Here is a 22,296-nt window from a genome sequence, read left to right as displayed (position 1 = left end):
TCTGGTCTGAGGACAGCAGAAGCTCAGGATACCTTTCTAGCAGGTAGATACAGGGAATGGTGTGGGATGAGGCAGAGGTTTGCTTCAGGTTCTCATCAAATTCCCCAGATCTGAAGCCAGCCCCTCTCAGGCCTGAACAGAAGCACTTCACCTGTTTATTTCTTGAAAAGCCATTCTATGTTGCTGCTTCCCACTTTTAGTTCTCAGAGGTGGCTTTCCTACTGTCCAGAAGACATAAACTTCTGTTTTCCCTGGAGTCACCTTAGCTTAAACTCCTATAATCTTGTTGAATCATCCCTGTGTTTGGCTAAACCAGGCTCCTCATACCCACGTTCCAGGGTCACACAGGTAACTTGGCTTGCTGCTTCTGGGGGCTCTGAATCCCACAATGCCGATCCACCACCTCTTCCCTGCTGCCACTAGTCTCCTGGGGTCTAGCCTCAACAGCTTCCACCAAGGACACACTGCATTGCTTAAGAGTGTATTTAAGGTGCGGCATTTGTGATGCTAGGGAGGAGCCTTCCTGACTTAATCACGTAGGGGGAGTGGGGAAAGAAGTGGGTATTTGGAAGGAGGGTGAGGTGGGCTGGGAATGCCAAGAAATGGTAGTACTGTGTGGTGAATCAAAGTGGGTCTTGGAATCTTCCTAGCTTTTCTTTTCTTTTCTTTTCTTTTTTTTTCTTTCTGACTTTTTATCTTATGTTGTCACTCACCATGTTTTGTTTTCCTCATCTGCAAAATGGATTGTTGTAAGCTTGAACAGGAATCATGCATAAAGTACTGAGCACAGTGCCTGGTACCTTGAAATCACTCAATGGAAGTTTCTTATTATTTGCCCTACACCCAAGGAGTAATTGGGGCCCTGAAGGAAGACACCCCAATTTGCCGTCCTCCCAGCCGCCAAGCCTGATAGTGCACTAGGGAGGCTGATGGGAAAATACCGTGCAGAAGGCTGAGGAGTGGGGATTCTGGGGCGGGACTCTTTGAAGTCCTAGGTGACCTCTCCGCCCAGGCACCCGCCCTCCCCGGGCCTGGGCTGCAGAGCTGCGGGCGGGGGCGGTGGCCCTGCGCTGCACCCGGCCTGCCTGCGCGTAGGCGGGCGGGCGGGGCTGCGCGTCCGGGCTCCCGGGGCTGGTAATATAGCGGCTCGCCGAGGCGCTGGTGCACGGGGGCAGCGCGCAGCAGGCCGGCGGGCAGGCGGGCGGGCTGGCTGGCAGGCAGGACTGGGATCGAGGCCCAGAAAACGGAGCAGCGGGCACCAGGGAGGCCTGGAACGGGGCGAGCGCCATGAGCAACAAATGCGACGTGGTCGTGGTGGGGGGCGGCATCTCAGGTTAGTCGCGGCTGTGCGCCCTCCTTCCTCTTCACGCGCTCGGACAGGTGGCTGCCTGGGGGAGACGCGGGGGGCGGCCGTGGGGCAGGGGCTGACCCTGGAGTCCCCAGACTGTCCACGCACGGGCAGGGCTCTAGTGGGTCCAGAGCGCCGTGCACTGAACCCTCCTTTGGGGGCAATTTTGGGTGCGTTCCCGGACGCAGAGGCCAGAGGCTGGAAGCCTGTTGCAGCTCTGGGGCCAGACTTTGAACTTCTCCCCCAGAAGGCTGCTAGGCCTTCGCTTGCTGGAATTTTCGAAGCCAGGGAAAAGGGGTGGGGAGGTGGCACAAAGGTCAGTCATTTGCTCCAACTTGACCTGGACACTCCGCACCCTCGCTTAGAGCAAGCATGCACCACATCGTATTGTTGTCCTGGCGTCAGGAAAACGACCTTGAACAGAAGAGGTTGGAGCCTGGCCAATCGATTGCCAAAGACTTTCCAGGCCCTCCTGATTCTTTGAGGTTCTGTGATTGTCACGGATCTAACTTGAGGCTGCAGTGTCTTTTTGGCAAATGCCTGTTTTCCTCTTATGCCTCTCGCACCCCCACTCCACCCCACCCCACTCCTAGCGCAGGGTGGCCAAGCTGCAGCTTTGCTCTCTGGCCTAGCCCATATTTGGCAAGGATGGGGACAGACACTACCCCCTCAGCCACACGGGGCTGTGTACATACCAAGGGCACCGAAAAATAGAAGCCAGAAGAAGGGATGGGGGTAGTGGTGGAACTTACCCTCTGTGGAGGATCAGGCAGATCCTATGGGATAGGGTCAATGGGAATCAATGATGCTCTCAGCACAGCCTGTTTAATGGCCCCCTGGGCATGCTTTGGCCCACCTCCTAACGCTGCCTAGTACTTGAGCAGTAATTAGGACACCTCCAGACCCGTGGATGCATTGTCTAAGACTTGCCTTAAGGAGTTCTCAAGTGGCCTTTGGGAAGTAGAGGTTGGCCTTGCTCCCTGCCAGGAGGGCAGGACAGAGTTGTTCTGACTCTCCTGTGGCTGGAGAAAAAACCAAGGCATTGGATGTTTGGTGCTGACCATGGTCCAGTCCTCCTGCCTCTGCTCCAGCCTTTCTCCCCTTTGGGTGGGATCTCAGGCTACCACATCTGTCTAGCAGGCTCTGGTGAGCTCGCCCATGCCAGGCCCTGTGCCTGGTGTTGCAGGTACATAGATGCGTAATCACAACATGCTGAGGTTGGCCAAGGCTGTGTATAAATTCAGTTTTCTTTCAGTATTTTTGACATCTTCTCTCCTAGAGGAAGTTGGACTTAAAAGCATACCTACTTAGGTGTTTTAGAAAATATTACTAAGTGCCTCTTGATGCTGCCTTGCATAGCACCCCATCTTACAGAAGCTGAAGTTTCTCTTTTCAGGCCCCCGAAGTCATTTTCTCACTAAAGTATGCCCAATGGATTCAGATTTTTCTATTTTCCCTTCATGATTTGTCCCTTTCTGATTCATACTCCACACCTTCAGGTTCAATCACATTACTCATGTTAGACTCATCTGGAAAAGGTAGATAAGGGTTTAACTATTTTTGCAAGCAGTGGTGAAACCTCTGCATTCATCCTCCCGAACTCTGATCAAAACAAGGTACTGATGAGTAGATCTGACTTTTCTCAAGAACATTCCACGGAATAGGCATTGTTCTAAGAACCAAGAAAGCAGCCTTCCAAGGCCCAGTCTTACTCAATTGCTTCATCTGCTACATGGGGATAACACCAGTTAGTCACTGCTGGATTACAGGGCAAGTGAAACAATGTGAGTAAAATAGCTTTGCAGAGTCTGAAATATGGCACAAGCCCCTCAAGAGTTTTACCCATTTATTCAGACAATAGGAATTGAGGGAGGCTGTGTAGGGGATTCAAAAATGGATCATGTTGTTCTTGCCCCGGAAGACTTGTCAATTCAAGAAGGGTGATGGGATACTCAGACAATACAAGGTAGAAGGTGGTGCGTGCCATGGGAGGGGTCCATTCATTGATTCATTATTCATTCATTCAATGAACATTTACTTCCTGTTCCACATTTTGTCCCAAAAGAAATAAAAGATGATTTATACAGGGCCATTGTTCCTGGGGCCCTCACAAGCTGATGTGGAAGACAGTCAAGAATAATTACTACTCTTTGGCATATGATAGGTGCTTTAATAGTGCATATAAAAAATTCTAGGGAAGGTGATTGGAGAGAACATCAAACTCTGTCTGAGAAAATCTAAGAACTCACAGAGTTGGTGACATCTGAACTATGTCTTCAGGAATGAATATGAATTCACCAGGGGACTAGATGAAGAAAGCATTTTTAAACTAAAGAGCAGCTTGTATAAAACCACAAATATGTGAAAGAACATGCTAACGTGTAGGATAACTTAAGAACTTCATTGCGGAGAGTTGCCAGAGGGGTCTGGTGGGAGAGAAAGCTAGAAAAGTCAGTTGGGATGAATTATGGGGAGGCTTGTATATCAGAAAGGTTTAGCTCTTTCTGTGATCAATGAATAGCACTGATGATTTTTTATTCAGAGTGCCATGCATCAAATGGCGTGTGTCACATCTGATGGTGATATTAGCAAAAAGAGGGATATGAAGAAGAGGGAGAGAAGGTTTTGGGAAAAGATAGGACGTCTAGAGTTGGAGGTTCTGGGAGGACACCCAGGGAGAGAAATCTAGCAGTTGGAATGAAATTGGGGTTACAAATGTGTACGATAGAGGTTTTAGTAGATGAAATGGCCAAAATCAAGAGTGTAGTGTGTAGAATTTTCGAATTAGTAGGTGACCAACACAATGATTTATGTTTAAAAGTCTCTGGATTTGACTCTGCGTTCTAAGCTTTGTTAATTATTAAACTTGGGACATTCTGGCAATTCCCTGATAATTTTTAAAGCTGTCAGCAAATTTTAATCACTCCCTTTGGGATAAACAGAGACATACTGGGAGGATAGCTGGTTAATACATAACTTTCTTTTTTGATGTTTTAAAAGTTCCAAGATAGTTGTAGACTAACTTTTTAGAAATGTGTATGGTGTATAAATGAGTATGCACTGAAATCTCTTTTACCCAAGGGGCAGATCATCTCCAGAGACTTGGCAGAGCAATGACATCTCCCACATGGAACTGGACAGCAGCACGTTGCATCTGTCCCGCGTCTCTCAGTTTTAGTGTTTGGGTGGGTGGAACCATGGAAACTATCTTTTGCAATTCTGGAATAGTTCTTGTTCAATCCCCAAAATAAAAACTAAAAAAGGCAACTTGAAGCAGAAACAAGAAAGTTTTGGCCAGACTTAGGAGAGGAGATTTGGTCATTTGAGGGTGGCAGGCACTTGTTTGAGATCCCTGGAAGTGTTGGAACCAGACTTCCAAATTGTAACCAACACCTGGCAGGTGATCTTTGTGGCAGGGAGAGCAAGCCTGGCTGCAGGCTAGTGGTACTGGCTTTGGCAGGGAATGTCAGAGATGGCTCACAAGGGGTTATGAGTTGAGGTGTGTGGTGGGCAGATGTGGCCCATATGTTAATGGCAAAGCCTCTTTCTCACCTTTGGTGAAGAAAAATGGAGAACTTCCCTGGGCTCCTGTAACCCACTTGAATGTCCTAAAAAATAATAATTATATAGATATGCCTGAAAATTTGTATATCCTAGTCAAGGAAAGAATACACAGAGGTAATACAGCAATATTAAAAGAACATACGATTTATCTTGGAAGGTTGAGACGGGAGGATTGCTTGAGCCCAGGAGTTTGAGACCAGCCCTGGCAACGTAATGAGACATGGTCTCCACACACACACACACACACACACACACACACACACACAAAGGCTGGGTATAGAGGAGTGCACCTGTAGTCCCAGCTACTCTGGAGGCTGAAGTGGGAGGATCACTTGAGTCCAGGAGCTCGAGGCTGCAGTGAGCTATGATCATGCCATTATACTCCAGCGTGGGCCACAGACAAAGACTGCCTATAAAAAAAGACTGGGAGGGGGAGAATAGGCTTAGTGTCAAACACACTAGTTATGAATCTCATTTCTTATGCTTACCTATGTGGAACCTTAAAAGGTACATAACCTCCCTGTATTTCAGCTGCCTCATCTTTAAAATGAGACTCATAATGCCTTCCTGGCCGGCTTGTTTCAAGGATTGGAAAGAATGCACATGTAGGACCATAAACAGTGATCACTTCGGCTTTGGCTTATAGGTGCCTTACTCTACCTTTTTGGAAATATATCCTTGTTTGTCCTGTAGAGTTTTTCAATCTAAGGGAGCAAAAACAGGCATTTCTATGTAATCACTTCTTTTCACCAACCAATAATTTTTCTGGATGTGCAGCATAGATAAGGTGGCAACAGGACGCCATGTATACATGTGGGCATCAGGAGAGACTCGCCTGACTTCAGCCTCATCCTGGCTCAGCCAATTCCTTTATCCCCCCGCAAGGGGCCTGAGGAACTCAGGCTCACTTTGGGCTCTGAGACCCACTGGGTTCCGCTTCAGGAGAAATTCTGGAAGTCTTAGATCTGTACTTCAGCCTCACCTCAACCTGGCTATTATTCCAATTCTGATCTGGTCTTCATTTCAGCCATTTGATTCCTGTCTTAACTACAATAGAAGATAAATGCATTAATAACAAATGATATTATTTATTTAATAATATTATTTAATAATAAATGATAAAAAGGTAGCATATCAAGCGTTATCTACATGCTGTACAAGGTGTTAGGAGCTTGATTAGAATGACAAAAGCTCTGTGAAGGTTAAGAATGACAAAGCCTTGTTCTTTCTGCTTGATTCTAACACCCCTGGGACACAGTGTTGGGGCCGGTTGGTGGGCTGTGTGAGTAGAGCCAGTTGCCACTAGAGTCACAATTTCTAGGCCCCCATGTGTCCTCAGAAGTCACCAGGGCAGGTTTAAGGCTTGGCTTGGCATTGACAATGGTCACAATTTTCTTCTCCTCTGACTGGGTATTGAGGTCTAGGCTCCCTGCCATACATTCAGGGGCAGTGGTGGAGCATAGGGGTTAAGAGCATGGTGTCTACCCTGGTTCCACCACTAACTAGCTGTGCCACCTTGGGCAAAATAGTTAGTTAACCTTCCCATGCCTTACTTTTCTCATTTGGAAATGGGGATAATAATGGTATCTATTTCACAAAGTGGCTGAGAGAATTAAAGGAGAAAATACATGTAGAGTGCTTGGAATGTGGCTTGGCATTTGGCAGGCACACAATAGATATTGATGATTATTGTTCATCAGGCTGACAAAATGTCCACTAGCAACTAGTGGTCTGAAGTGCCAGTGTGCCAGCTTCCTCACTGTCAAACTTTGGGCTGAGGAAGTGGTTTGTGGCTGTGCATTTGAATGCACTGACACACACACACACGCGTGCATGCACACTCGGAGAACATTAGCCTGTAACAGAGATTCTGCTTCCAAGCCCTGTTTTCTTGGCTTGTATATGATTTACTAACACAGATGATGTGAGAAAGTCAGCAGCTTAATTTAAACAAAAGGCTTTAACTCTAATTATTTTAATATGTATTTTAAGAGATAAATATGTCAGAAACTATAAATGCAAAACATTTGTATACGAAGAGGAAGGAAGATAACACAGCTGTTAAACACAAAGGGCATTGGAGGCCTGGGACTTGGGCTCAAATCCCATCTGTTCCCCTAAATGTGGAGCTTGGGCAATAGGGGTGGCAATAGTAACAGGTTAGTTTTTTTGTGGAGTTCAATTACAGATGATTTTCATTTTTTTCCATTTTCTGTAATTTACAGATTTTCACAACAAATATGTATTATTTCTGCAACTCACGTTTCCAGAAACACCATACTCTTCCCTCTCCAAAAAAATTCCTCAAAGTATAAATCACCATGATGGAATGTGACTGCATCTTTCATTTATATCAGTGGCTTTTCTTCTTAAAAATATTTGAGGGAATTTTTGTTATTAATAAGTGTGGTTATTGGCCAGGCATGGTGGCTCACACCTGTAATCCCAGCACTTTGGGAGGCCAAGGTGGGTGGATTGCTTGAGGTCAGGAGTTCAAGACCAGCCTGAACAACATGGTGAAACTCCGTCTCTACTAAAAATACAAAAATTAGCCAGGCGTGGTGGCGCATGCCTCCAGTCCGAAGCTACTTGGGTGGCTGAGGCAGGAGAATCACCTGAACCTGGGAGGCAGAGGTTACAGTGAGCCGAGATTGTGCCACTGCCCTCCAGCCTGGGAGACAGAGTGAGACTCTGTCTCAATAAATAAATAAATAATTAATAAATAAATGTGGTTATTAATTCTTCAATTTATCCTTCTGCAAAAGATGCCCTGCTAGATATCAAAAGCTCTTTCAAAGAGCTTGTCTCTTCAATTTGTCTTGGTACTTCTTCAGCCAAGTTTCTTCAATTTTTCTTGGTACTTGAAAAGCGGGTGAGTGTTCCTGGGCTAACTCCTAGAATTCTCAATAAATGTTAACTTTGTTATTTGTACAAGTCACTGGGCAGTACTCAATTGAGGGCACCCTGGAATCATGCAAGATCGAATACCCTTGAAGGGTGCAAAAGTGAGCCAAATTGAGGGGCCACGTTCAGGTGTAATATGTGTCTGAAGAACGAGTGTTTTCAGCCCCACAAGAGAATGCTTTGGAAATTTGCTCAGGTTAAATGTGTACCATTGTGCTTTTGCAAGAATCTCATTCGCTGGGCTTAACTTATTAGTAGTGTGTCTGCATAAAAGTTGTTATTTCCCCTAAGAGGAGGCCATAATGGTATAAAATTCCTTCCTGATTTTGAATATTCAAGGAACAAACTTAGAAGACCAAGCTAAAAAATACTTTGGTTTAATAGAATCATTGGTGACTGAAGACGGAAGCATCTTTAGAGTTTTACCTACTAGTTAAGATCGCCTGGTTTTGCATCCAAGAAAAAGCACATTTAGAGAGTGCAAAGGGCTGGCTCCAGACCTCACAGCCCCTTCTTTTGAATAAAATTATTGTCCTGGAGGATGAGCCCTCAGCCTTAGGAGAAAATGCAAACAGAAGGACAACCTGATCAAATGGTGCTGGGTGAGAGGTTAGAATCACTAATACTTTGAATGCACTATTTCTACTTTCTGTTTTCATGCTCACAAAATGGATCCATCTTTGGCCTCCTCTGTTAACTCAGTAAATAAAGATACAGAAAGCCAAGTCCCTGTTAGCAATGTTTCCTAAGTCAGCATGCATTTATTTACTGAAGGAAGGTATAGAAAAAGAGTAAGACTAAGTTCCCAGCCTCAGGAAACTTAAAATGCAGATGGAGACACAAGACTAGCACATACATGCAATAAGGAACAATTAAACTAATGTATAATTGAATTCTGAACTGTGGGACCCAAGGACTAAGTTAGAAGAATCATTAAAGACCCCAGGAGTTGGAGAAGGTCTCATTAAGGGAGTAGAATTTAACAGATTCTGAAGAACAGTCCAGGTTTGGGAGGGTAGAGAAGAGAGAGGCTTTAAAGATGAGAAGAATCATTTAAATCATAGGGCCAGAGACTTCAGTTAGCAGGTGATCTTTATATTTACAGGACAGTAGAAAGTCCAGCTTGTCTAGAATAAAAGGAAGGGGAGACATGGGAAGGAAAGTTAGTAGGAGGGGGGCAGGATCCAAAAACGAGCAATTGAAAAACAAAGTGAAAAGTTAGGTTTTCCTGTGGTAAGAAATAGGGAGCCATTGACAGTTTATACTATAAAGATAAGGTGGATGGTCGTGTGCCTGATAACCAGGGAAGCCAAAACATGGATAGAAATTCAGGAAAGGATTGAGAGGTGATCAGCTGATTATAATGTATTGGGTTATTCTGAATGCCCAAGGGAGGTTTCAAGAGAAATGGGGATAGAAAGAAGGGAAGAATGAGTAGAAGGAGGTGTCCAAAGTTGCACTTGGCTTTCTTCACTGTCTTGCTGGCAGCCTATCCAGAAAAGAAGTATCACAAACAATAATTAGTTGTAATTTAATGAAGTTGTAGGCACTCCATAAAACATTTACCACTGTTACTATTGCCACCTATATTTTATTTTTGCAAACTTCCCTCCAAAGTTTTATCATTGGGATTGAAGGACTTGACTGTATTTACATTTTTTCTTCTTTAAAAAACTAAAAACAGAGATTTTCTTCCCAAGGGCTGTGACCCAGTTTACTAAATGATAAAACGTGTATCTCTGGCAATCTCAAACACAAAATGAATAGTTCATCTTATTTGTTATATAAAAACTGTCGGCCGGGTGCAGTGGCTCACACCTGTAATCCCAGCACTTTGGGAAGCCGAGGCGGGCGGATCGCGAGGTCAGGAGACCGAGCCCATCCTGGCCAACATGAAGAAACCCTGTCTCTACTAAAAATACAAAAATTAGCCGGGCGTGGTGGTGGGCGCCTGTAGTCCCAGCTACTCGGGAGGCTGAGGCAGGAGAATCGCTTGAACCAGGGAGGCGGAGGTTGCAGTGAGCCGAGATGGCACTACTGCACTCCAGCCTGGCGACAGAGACAGACTCCATCTCAAAAACAAACAAGCAAACAAAAACGAACAAAAATGTCATTTAAACCTTTTGTTTTGTGAGAGAGGGGCACCATCAGAAAACATCTTCAGGTAGGTCTGACCTTTCAAATGTTAGTCATCTTACCATAGTCTCCATTTAATGGCATCTTAAATGTCATATACTATCTAATTTCCACTTCATATCTGAAATTTGAGCTCTTGATCTTATGTTATGCATCTCTTAGCTAGGCCATTTTTAATTCTACTCTCCTCCTCAATAACATTTATCAGAATTACACAATGATGAAAATGTCCTACTAGATACTTAGTTTTATTTGCTCTCCTTCTAGCCTAAATAATCGTCCCTTTTGCTTAACCTCTCCAACATTTTTAATGATTCTTTTAATTGAATTTGGAATCCTTACTTCATATTTTGAAGTTGGGCTACTTTTTATTGCTGTGATCCCAGTGGTGTGTGTGTATTAAATTGTGTATTGATAATTATGTCTTTAGTTATATCTCATTTCTTTGGGTTATTTTCCAGTTTTCTACATTAAAGAAACAAGCTCATTGGAAGAGCTTTTGTTATCCAGCAAAGCATCTTTTTTCAGAAGGATAAAGTTAAGAATTAATAACCAATTTAGTTAATAACCAAAATTACTTCAAACATTTGGTAAGAAGAAAGGCCACTGATAGAAATGAAAGATGCAATCACATTCCATCTTGATGATCTACAGTTTGAGGACATTTTTTAGAGAGGTGTGAGTATCTTTTTTAATAGCATGAATGCAGAAATAATAAACATTTGTTGTGAAAATCTGTAAATTATAGAAAATGGCAAAAAGAAAATGAAAATCATCCATAATTGAACTCCATAAAATATTTACCACTGTTACTATTGCCACCTATATTTTCTTTATGCAAACTTTATGTTGTATTTACTGTACTTATTTGTATCCCCTTTAAAAATAAATACCAACATGTTATGAATGTTTACCTATGTCTTAAATGTTTTTTCATGATTTTATAACATTAGTTCATATGATTGTATCACAACTTGTTGAATCAATCTCCTATTGCTGAACATTTGTGTTTTTTTCAAACTTTCTGCTATTTTCAACAAAGCTGTTATGAACCTAAATTGTTGTACATAATTCTGATTGTTTCTTTAGGAAATTTCCAGAGATAAATGTTAGAAATTCTTTTAAGGCATTTAATAATTATAGCAAAATTGTCGCCCAAGAAAGTTTTACCAATTTACCTTATGATGGAATTGTAATAATGGACTTCTTAGCCATTTCAATAGGAAACCAACATTTCCTCCCCACCCAACGATCCCCCAGACAGTACAGAGATAATCAAGATTCTTCACCAGTTTGTAGTCGTAATTTAATGAAGTTGTAGGCACTAGAAATTAAAAATATCTTCAGTTTTGTAACATTTTAGTGGTGGCAAGTAAGTTTTGCTCTCTGTAACATGCAGGAAAGCTGTTTTTTGCAATTACTACGTTATGCCTACCATTATCTACTGGGAACATATACTTTTATAGTACTTTTAAATTTATTGGGTACCATCTAGCCTGTGCTTCCAGAAGTTTGCCATCATTAATTAGATAACTGTTGTGTTTCTATGCAGAAAAGAAAAGAAAATAGTCCTGTAACAAACCATTTTCTATGATTAATTATTTTTACCCATCTAGATAAAACATGAGTATAGCCTTTGTTCACAGCCTATTGTAACAGCTGATCAAACAGCTGTTTCATGTTTTACATTTTAATTTCCTCTGTATTTTGCATTCAAATCCTGTGATAGAGTTTAATTTATTTAGGAAACCCATAAGATATAGTCGACTGTTTCAGAATAGCCCTTTTATGCTGTGCCAGTTAGTGGAAATCAAACAGCCCTTGTTAAGCACCGATGATAAATACACATAAGGGTGTGCACTAAAAGAGTTGTCCTCGTTTCATCAAATGTATTTCCCTATGTCATTGTTTCTGCAGGGAGAAAAAGAAATTTGTTCATTCGTTGATTCAGTCATTCAATAAACCCTTATCGAGTGCCCTATTTACCAAACATTGGGCTAGGTGTGGGAATACACAGATGGGTAATACATGTGCCCATCTTTCAGGGGTACACCAAGCAGAAGGAGGCAGACATGTACAGGTGAATGTTCTGAGGGGTGGTGGGTGCTGAGAAAGACATGCTTATCTGGATCAGATGAGACAGAGAAGAGGAGGACAGCAGCTTCACCTCAAGGGCCTCAGAGGCCCTGAAGGAGGATTTGGCAATGGAATTTACTGGAGAGGTAACCAGCAAATTCAAATGTTCTTCCTTGAAATATAGCTTTAAGTAGTTGGAACTTAAATCTATATTCTAATGTACATAGAGTGTTGAAATTTCACTTTCACTCTTTGTATAGTGGATGTTATAGTAGGCTGTCCCACTACCTTCAGGACCTGCTGAGAGTGTTGGCTGCTGCTGGCTCACAGCCAAGTCCCTCTCTGAAAGTCACCCTTGACTGAAGGGAGCTGACTAACCCAGGCCTTCGTACCCTCTTGCTTCAATCCAGGATAACTCTGAAAGGCCACATTAGCCTGAGAGTTCACTGTAGGACTGATTGATTTCTCTGTTGTGCTTGCATCTCTCAGTTCAACTCCTTCCTTTGCCCAATCCTGCTTCCTTTCTTCATACATGTTGAACCCCGATAAAGCTTCTATATGCAAACCCATCTCAGAGGCTGCTTACCAGGGGACCCTAAGCTAGACAGAGGATGACTGAACAGCATTTTTGCTCAGCGTGTCACAAGATGTTCTAATCATGAAGTTTCAGACAGTTGGAGGAAGAAGCAATTAAAGGGCATGACCTTTCCCATGTTCTTTTCTTTTCTTTTTCTTTCTCTTTTTTTTTTTTTTTTTTTTTTTTTGAGGTGGAGTCTCACTCAGTTGCCCAGGTTGGAGTGCAGCGGTGAGATCTTGGCTCACTGCAAGCTCCGCCTCCCGGGTTCATGCCATTCTCCTGCCTCAGCCTCCCAAGTAGCTGGGACTACAGGTGCCCACCACCATGCCTGGCTAATTTTTTGTATTTTTAGTAGAGACGCAGTTTCACCATGTTAGCCGGGATGGTCTCGATCTCCTGACCTCATGATCCGCCCGCCTCAGCCTCCCAAAGAGCCGGGATTACAGGCGTGAGCCACCGCCCATGTTCTTTAATGGCCTCCACCAAGGATGCAAGAGGCCGGTAGGGCCTGGAGACGGTGCTTAGTCTCATCAGTTCTGGATAAGCACTCTTTGGTGCCCTGAGAGCCCCCAAGTAAGGGTGAAAGGTAGAGGTTGATCACTATGCTGGCCCAAACACTCTCTGGGGAATCCCAATCTCTTACCACTCTGTGTGCTGATTCAGAGCTGAAATTTAGAGCCTCCGATCTGGAAGTGCTCAAAATATGGATTCCTTCTTTTACTGGAGGAATCCGTGGCAGTACAGCCAAGAGAGAAATTATGAAACAGCCCTAATCTGTGAAGACTGGATACAGAAGTTTGGACGCTGTCCATCTATTCCAAGCCACCATTTTGGATCCAGCTCAGATTCTGGGTTCTTGGAAAAATAGTGCTGTTGGCACACACCTCTATTCTTTCCCTTATCCTGTGACCATTTTATGCAGCTTCCTGTAGGATTTCTCACAGGGTGTTGAAAATGCTGAAAGTGATTATAAAAAAAATGGACAATGGAGTTCTTGATGGATAAGGGAGAAAGGGAAGTTGTGAGGGAGCAAGCTGGTTCATAGATTCAAATGGAGATGTTAATAGATTGGAGGTCTTTGTGTCATTAAAGAACATTTATATTAGAGCAATTTGAGCAGGTGAACTAGAAAGATAGGAAATCATGATTGTGAGGGGGTGTTCTGTAGGGTTTTGACGATGAACCTTTTGATATGTGCTACTTGGAAATAACCATTTTTTAAATGAGTTGCAACATTTTGAATCAGCATGTCCAGAGATTTAATTTTCTATGTGATTCAAAAAATGATGTAAGAGTCAGAAAAATGATTTTCTTTCATTTTATTTTCTATTTACTAATCTGCTATTGGTTTTACAACAGGGCAGAAGAGACAACTATCCATTTAATCTAAGTTTAGAGATTGGCAGAAAAGTCCCTCTGTTTTATTGAGAAAGGCAGGAATCATACACTTTGGGGTCCTAAAGATTCTAAGCAGGTCTCTGTTAAAATTGCATGCAGGTCACTGGGGAGCTAACCCCTCAACTGCTGATTTGCTATGTGAGTGATGTACAGCAGGCTGGGGAGGGGAACCAAAGCAAGGTGCTCAAACTACAGCAATGCAAAGCAGTTGGGAGACATAGGCAGCCTTTATCTCCCAGCTGTTTTTCTTGAAGATGATTAGAAAAGCATAGAAAAAAGTCAGAGGGTGTACAAAATTTAGCGTTATTTAAAGTCCAGTGGGAACAGCACTTTGTTCTATTCCAAAACAAATTATAATAGAGAGAGAGAGATCTTGTCCTTCCCACACCCCATCAAACTACACTTTATGCAGCTAGACCATTAGTGTTATGATACCATTAGCACTTTGAGAATTCTGTTCTCTGACTGAAAAAGAAAAAGCACATTGTTTATGGAAGGGTCTGTAAAAGGAAATTGCGGGCTAGTTTTCAACCCTGTGATTCAGCCTCATATATTTACTATCTACCCGAAATCTTTGCCGGCAACATGCCATTCTATCCCCGTCTGTCTGCTACGAGGCTATCATTTAGAAAACATTAACTGAATGCCTCCTGTGTGCTAAGTGCTAGGAATGAATAATCAGGTTCCAGTTCAACACATTCACACACACACACACACACACACACACAAGAATTGATGTGAAATTACGTTTTCTGTGCTTATTTATTTTTGGTGCATGCACAAAAATGTACTTTTTAAATGAAAGAAGCCTCTCGGTGCCGTGAAAGAGCTTTACCTTTGGACAAAGTTAGAATGGATGCTAAGATCACTTTGGCTTTGCTTTCCAAGTCTCTGTCCTCTGCTAGCTTTTTTAGTTTTATTCATGGGTGGTATGATATTCCTGGCCTTATAAGGGGTATAAGTAAAATATCATACTTGCCTTTTATGTTATCAGAAATTGGGCTGCACACAGGAACCGTCAGTGTCTGAAAGGAAATCACATGGTCCTAGTTGATAAAAGGCAGAACATCCAAAATATACCACCCGTGTCCTGCTTCTCTCCCCTTGTTCCTTTCTCTCTGATTTCATAGAGAATGTGTCCAAGGGGGAAATGAGTTTTCTGTAGATAAATCAGTTGGCCAGTCCACAGTATTGAGCTTCCAGTGGACAGGTCTGAGAAATGGGGAAAAATACAAAGAGGTTGAGATGACAGTAAGTAGGAAAGGTAAAAGCATTTTGCATGTAGAAGAAAAATCATTTGGGGTGTGCACTTGCTTTATTTCTGGGTTTTAGTTTGTGATCAGAAAACTAGCAGAAGCTGATGAAAATAGGAAAGCATTTCTTTTCTCCTATTGTGTTCTTTAAAAAATATATTTCGCCAAACAGATATTTTATAAAATCTGGCTTCCTTCCCCATAGATAAATTCCTTTGAAAGGAGTCTGTAGGTTTAAAGGTTGCTTCAGAATACATTTAAAATTAATCTTTAAAATTAAAGGCATTAGTGAATTTTAAAATTCCATTGAATATATGTTTATGTGTAAAGATGTTTGAATACTTTTTCTTAGGGAAAAAAGGGATTTTAAAAAAGAAATATTAGCACTTAGAATTTAAACCAGCTTTTAAATGATACATCCTATATATAAATTTTAGCATCATTTTTCAATATTTTTAAAATGCAATGAAGATCTCAATGGCAGGTGAAAAATGATATCTGCAAGTGATTTTTTAAATGGGAGCTTATTCAATTTTGTAATTATAGCTGTATGTGAAGAACAAACAAAATACATGTGCAAAATATAATAACAGCAATATCTGCCTGGTATTTCTAAAGGACTTTGGTTACATATAATTCTTGTACGCATGATAAGAAAAGGAATGTTAATTTTTAACTCAACAAATACAGCGTTCCTATAAGGTGGTCTGTACAGTATATTGGTTTGTATAATTCACACATTAAGTGAAAGGAAAGAAAGAGATGAGGAGTGGAAACACTTATCTCATACTCTTGTCTAGTTGAATATTGTTTTTTCCATCTTTGACATTTGAATTTTGTAGTACAGTGCAGTATGAGGTGTTTAAAGCCTATAAACTGTTATTTAACTAATACTGTTTTCTAAAATACTTTCCATGATCTAAGAAAATAATTTCTAGTTTCTTGGGCTATGTATTAACTGGGCATTCTAAAACGTCACTTCTCATCACTCCCATGATAGTACAATTTCCTGCTTCCCTCCTAAATCGCTAGTGCTCCACCAGTCTCCTTTGCCAGCTCCCTTCCTTTGCCTGCTCCTTCTTCTTTGGCCACCAATGTTTCCGGTTTCAGGAAGTGGAACCATATTCTGGCCAGGTTTCCAGCCAAGAGTCTTGACATTTGTAGCAGACATTGCAGGGATCCTACCAAATCTCCTTGGCACTTATTTTCATACACATGAACTTAAGGCCTCTGTCTGATGCAAGTTTTTGCCTGCAGGCTTTCTCTGGCCACTGGAGCTCCTCTTGGCTCAAACCCAGGCAGGTGAGCAGTGCGGGTGGGGCTAATGCCCCCCGAAAAGCAGCCATGAGTCTGTGACTAACATGATTTGATGGATAAGTAACCCATCTTCCTCATCTCTTAGGATAGCTAAAGTGTGTTCCACACTGTCTCCCAGATTTCCCCACAGTTGCCCACAGTGGTAACCACTTAACTGTCTCCATGCCCCTTCTGGATCTGGTGTTCCTCACGTGGACCACTGTAGTTCCCAGAGTCTGCTCATTTGTGTCCCATCATTCGGTCTAGCCCTTCTCCAGTCCATTCTGTTTTTCTATTATGGTAAAATATACCTAATGTACAATTTACTGTATTAACTGTTTTAGGTGTACAGTTTAGTGGCATTAAGTACATTCACATTGTTGCACAACTATCACCACCATCCATCTCCAGAACCGTTGCATCTTCTCAAACAGAAACTCTGTACGCATTAAGCAATAACTCCCCATTCCCTTCTTCCCCAGCCCCTGGCAACCATCATTCTACTTTCTGTCTCTATGCATTTGACTGCTCTCAGTTCTTATATGAGTGGAATCATACAGAATGTGTCCTTTTGTGTCCGGCTTATTTCACTTAGCATAATATCCTCAAGGTTCATCCTTCTAGTTCATTCTTACAATAAAGGAAGTACAACTTGTGAATTGGGAAAAAGCAGATTGGATATTTTTTAGTCACAAAACATATTTATTGTCAGAAGTGAAGCAAACAAAGTTGTTCAAAGACAAAGCTAAATATTTGTCGAACTTCACCTCATTCCTGCCCTCCTGAGGTGACCTGTGTTAACAGCCTGGTGTATTTCCTTTCACACGTTTCTCCTGGAAGGGCAATTTTTCTAAAATGTAAATCTCATGAGATTTACTCTTCTGCTTCAGATCTTTCCATGGCCCTCCATTACCCCCAGGATAAAGTCTGAAATGATGGTTATGGCCCAGAAACACTGCAGACCTGAACTTGGCCTACTTCGGATGCCTTGTTTCCCGTGGCTCTTCCTAGGGCCTGTAGCTACACTGATCCACTTTGAAGTTCTCGAATAATCTGCAACCTCTGGCCTTTGTACCTGCTTCTGTCACGTGTAGTCTTCCTAGTTCTCCTCCCTCCCACCCCTGACCTAGGTAACTTTTGATCATTCTTCCAAATATATTTTAAAATTCACTTTTAGGGGTCCTTCCTCTTGTCTGACAGACCTGTGTGAACTACCTTAGCGCCTGCAGCCAGAAAAAAAAAAAAAAAAGCTTTTGGGCAAAGAGTCAGTCACTGTAGTTCAAATAAACAATGGTTGTTCGTAGAAGTGAATGAGGAGGGAATATGGGTATAACATCGACAATACCTGCTACAACATTTTTCATGAAAACCTCTGAATCACTTGAAAAAGTAATGACAATAATCAATCTTATTGAGTTCTAAAATTTTATCTTCATAAGATTTTTAAATAATAGCTTTGTTGAGATATTATTCACATACAATTCACCCATTTCAAATGTACAATTCAGTGGATTTTCATAGATTCACAGGGTCTTATGATCATCACCCCAATGTAATTTTTGAACATTTTTGTTTCCCTAAAAGAAAACTCCACATCCCTTAGCAGTCATTCCTCATTCCCCATCACCACCGTCAGTCCCTCAGCTCCTTACAACCATTAATCTACTTTCTGTCTCTAGATGTTTGCCAATTATGAACATTTTATACAAATAGAATCAAACACTGTGTGACCTTCTGTGTCTGGCTTCTTTCATTTAGCATCATGTCTTCAAGATTCATCCATGTGGTAGCATGTATCAATATTTCATTCCTTTTTAAGGCCAAATAATATTCTATAATATGGGTGTGCCATAATTTGTTTATCTTTTAATTAGTTGATGGACATTTGGGTTGTTTCCACTTTTTGGTTATTATGAATAGTGCTGCTATGAACATTCTTGTACAAGTTTTTGTGTGGAGATATTTTTATTTCTCTTCGGTATATACCCGGGAGCGAAACTGCTAGATCATAAGGTAACTCTTTGTTTAACCTTTTGAGGATCACCCTCTTAAGATTTTAAAGTACGATCTGCAGTGATTTACTGAATGTCACATAGTGCAGGTACACCTACAAAGCCATCATTTTGTGCTGCCTCCTGGATAGAGGGTAGAGATGCCTGGATTACTGGGTTGCCTGTGTCTCTCATATGCTTTTCTGAGATGGTTGGTGCTGGGAGAGATCCTTTGGGAAAAACTCTTAGCCTGTTCAGCTTCTTTAGGTAAGATGCTGTCCTGAGGCTGACCCAGTTCTGTCTAGTTCTGACCCAGTTCCAAACATTAAGTAGAGCATCCATGTACCATGCCAAGCCATACCCTTCCCGTCCTTTAAAAGCTGACTCTGGGCCATCTTGAGTGTTGAAATCAAACCTAAACCTCCTCTATGTAGTTAATCCCAAAGCCCAAATAAGATATCATATTGGCAGGAATAAATCCACTCATCAAAGTTTATCCATCCATTGTTTGAGGTGATTGTTTCCTGGATTGTAGGTATTCCTGGAAAATAATGTGAAACAAGGTAAGCTTCCAGGAATGAAATGCAAACTAAATGGAAATTAAGACACATTCATAAATGTGTCTCACAAGACCAATGAAGCTAAAACATTTATCACTAAGAAAATGATTATCCAAAACAATTATCCTAAACAGTAAGCATTTGGTAAGTAATATCATATATACGTATACAGATAATGTATGTATGTATTGTATATATATTTATATGTTTATAAAATAAACAAAATGCTTCACATGAAAACTCCAACTAGAGAAAATACGTATATATTTAATGTGTGCATATATGAAATGCGTTTACTTACATGAATATATTTATATATACATATATTTTGACATTATGTTTAACATGTAGTAAGTATTCTCCTTAGCCTAGAGTTACAGATAGTGATGCCAAGTTCAGTCCCTTAATTGATGAACAATAATTATGTTGTATTCATCAGTTTAAAAAGCATAATATAAACAATGTTATTAAATTCCAAGATTTACACTGTAATCTAATAGAGATGTATTGGTGGTGTTAAAACAGCAATTAAAAGAAATAGCTCCCTAGCCTTGAAAAAATAATATGCATCTTTCTCTCCATCTCCCAATCTGATCATTAGCTTGTAATTGAAGTAAATTTCATAAAATACCAAGTAGTTGACTTTGGGATGGCATTTCTATCAATTTACTTGTATCCATTATTTTTCTGAAATAGAGAAGGTTAGTAGCAATATCAAGGAAGGTGGACTGTGATTTATAGAGAAGTTTGCAATTATGTGACTAAGTGCTTAATTTAGGGATCTCAAAAGTATAAATTTACAAAGAAAGTTGATCAGTTGTGAAGATAATTCAGGAAATAGTCCAGTAAATGAAATTGCCCATGTAGTATCATGACTAAATAGGGGTTTTTTGACTAATTCTGGGTGAATTATAATTATTTTTATAAGTTCATTTTAAAGACCTACCATTTAAAGACAACCACTCTTAACTTTGGGTATATATTTTTTCCAGCCTCTTGAAAATATATTCATTTATTTTGGCTATGTGTGTGTGCGCACACGTGTACCACACATTTATATTTGCTGTCATAGTATAGACACGATTTTTTATCTTTTCACCTGATTTTCTATTATAAGCATTTTCCATATTATTACAGTCTTTATGAACATAATTTAAGTAACGTCAAATAAGGCATACCAAAACCTACTTAACTAATACCAGACTATTGGACGTTATGTATTATGTGTGTGTGTTGTTATTATAAATGACAGTGCACTAAAGATATTCAGAAATAATTACTTTTTCCCATATTTGGTATTCTTCCTTAGGATTGACTCATAAGGTAATAATTCCTGATTTTAAAATATGGACAGTTTAATGTTTTTGACAGATACTGCCAAATTGTTTTTCTCAAGTACTTTACCAATTACTCTTCCAGCCAGCTTTGTTTTATCACACTGTTGGGATCACTTAATAGCATCCTTTGCTTTATCAATCTTTTTCAAATTGAGAGTGAATGTGGTATTCTAACTTGGGAGGTGAAAAATGGTTATTTTTCATTTTTAATTGCTGGCAAAGTCAAATATTTTTCTTGTGTCTCTTATTCAATTATATTTTCTGGGGAGGTTATTTTTATTTCATTTTTTTGACTTGTGGTTAGAATATGGGGTGGAATCCATTCTTCTTTCTGAATGAACCAGTATTTGTTTATGTTTCTGAACTGGGTAGGTAACTCATAAAAGAAATGTTTTAGCCAAGCTGTTGAGTTGCATTCTCTGCCTTTAAGAGCCTTTATGCCCTTCCGGTGCATGTATTCAGTGAGTGTCCCAACTACTTCCAGTGTACAGATTTCACACCCAGGTGTATGGCCAATAGCCACAGGGTGAGTCCTGATACTGCAATTAAAGTGGCCTAATCCAATAAGTAGACTTCCTTGAACATATTTTCTGTGTGGTATTAGTGTATGTAAAATTTGTGATGTAATTCTACTGCTTTCACAAGCCTTTAGTGAAACTCAGTGGATTCAAAACTCACTTTTCCTAAGATGACTCCCAAATCTCTATATTTTCAGCTGAGTTAACAAATGTGAAAATAAATAAATGTTTATTGGCTTTGAATTTGGGTCAGTTAAGAGAGACAAGGAATTGGGGAAGCATGAGATAACAGAGGGACATAGTAAGACATAGCACTAAGAATTTACATGGAGAACCCCACAAAAATACAATACAGGGTAAAGGAAATAAAGACTCATAGAATCAAACACAAATCCAGAGGGACAAAGAAGCACAGAAGAACATAATATCATTGCATAATTTTCTGGGTTTAGAATTTTGTCACTAAAGACATATAAAATGTTGTAATTTTGCAACTGTGGGTGTAAGGGGTGACATTGCCATTTTGAGTTGGCAAAGGATTTACTTCTTTGTTCAGGAGGAATTTGAAAAGTAGCACGGGTTTCTCAGGTCTGGATTATACCTCTCTTCAACATGACGGAATTGGCCGTTCCTGTTACAGGAGGCTTTACCTTTCAACTTGGGTTGCTGACTCATTTGACAATTTTGGACCATGCCCACAGCTTGAGAGTACAGAGAGTTTGTTCAAAGTACTTAAAAATAGACACACACACACACACACACACACACACACGTTTCAGCTGGAGCATAATGCTAAAATACATTTAAAATGTAAGAAATTTCTGTAAGTAGCTAGTACAGCATTGAATAGGTATCTTTCTTTTCAATAATCTAACAGTGCAGGCCTAGAATTTAAATACCCCAGAGGAATTAATAATTAACAAAGCCCTTAAAATAACTCTTTAAAATTTCAGGTGCTTACATGACATTCAGCAGGGGAAGCATTTTAGTTTTCTGACAAGTGCCCAAAATGGTGTTACTGATGAAAGGAGACTGTAGATTTTAGACATGAGGCAGATAAGCTATGGAGCTAACATTATGCTATTGATATTTGGGGGTCTGTTTTGAATCCTTGTCCAGGTGGAAAACTACCCTTCTGCACTGGTACTTTAAATTTTTTCCTTGACAAAATTTTGTATTAAATTTGTAGTTAAAGAAACATTTGGAACAGAAAATTTGGGACTAAAAATTTTGGAGGATAACTGTGATCAAACGGTCACCTTGACATTAAAATACGTTTTTGATACATCAGGTTTTGAGGAGGAATGCATTCTGATGGCCGCACTAGCGTTAGTTCTT

At 40.7% G+C, this 22,296-nt stretch overlaps 1 protein-coding gene across 1 annotated transcript in view; it reads left to right on the top strand.

Moving 5' to 3' along the window:
- The window catches only part of MAOB (monoamine oxidase B), a 115,841-nt gene continuing 94,681 nt past the window's right edge, over window positions 1,137-22,296 (top strand). Inside the window, exon 1 of the mRNA NM_000898.5 lies at window positions 1,137-1,333. Within this exon, the coding sequence (NP_000889.3) occupies window positions 1,288-1,333 (46 nt within the window). The 5' untranslated portion in view covers window positions 1,137-1,287. The remainder of the gene's footprint in view (window positions 1,334-22,296) is intronic.

Source organism: Homo sapiens, chromosome X, assembly GCF_000001405.40.
Source record: "Homo sapiens chromosome X, GRCh38.p14 Primary Assembly".
In the NCBI taxonomy this organism is placed as follows: domain Eukaryota; kingdom Metazoa; phylum Chordata; class Mammalia; order Primates; family Hominidae; genus Homo; species Homo sapiens.
The sequence above is the reverse complement of the archived record's forward strand: the minus strand, read 5'-3'. Positions and strand labels throughout refer to the sequence as shown.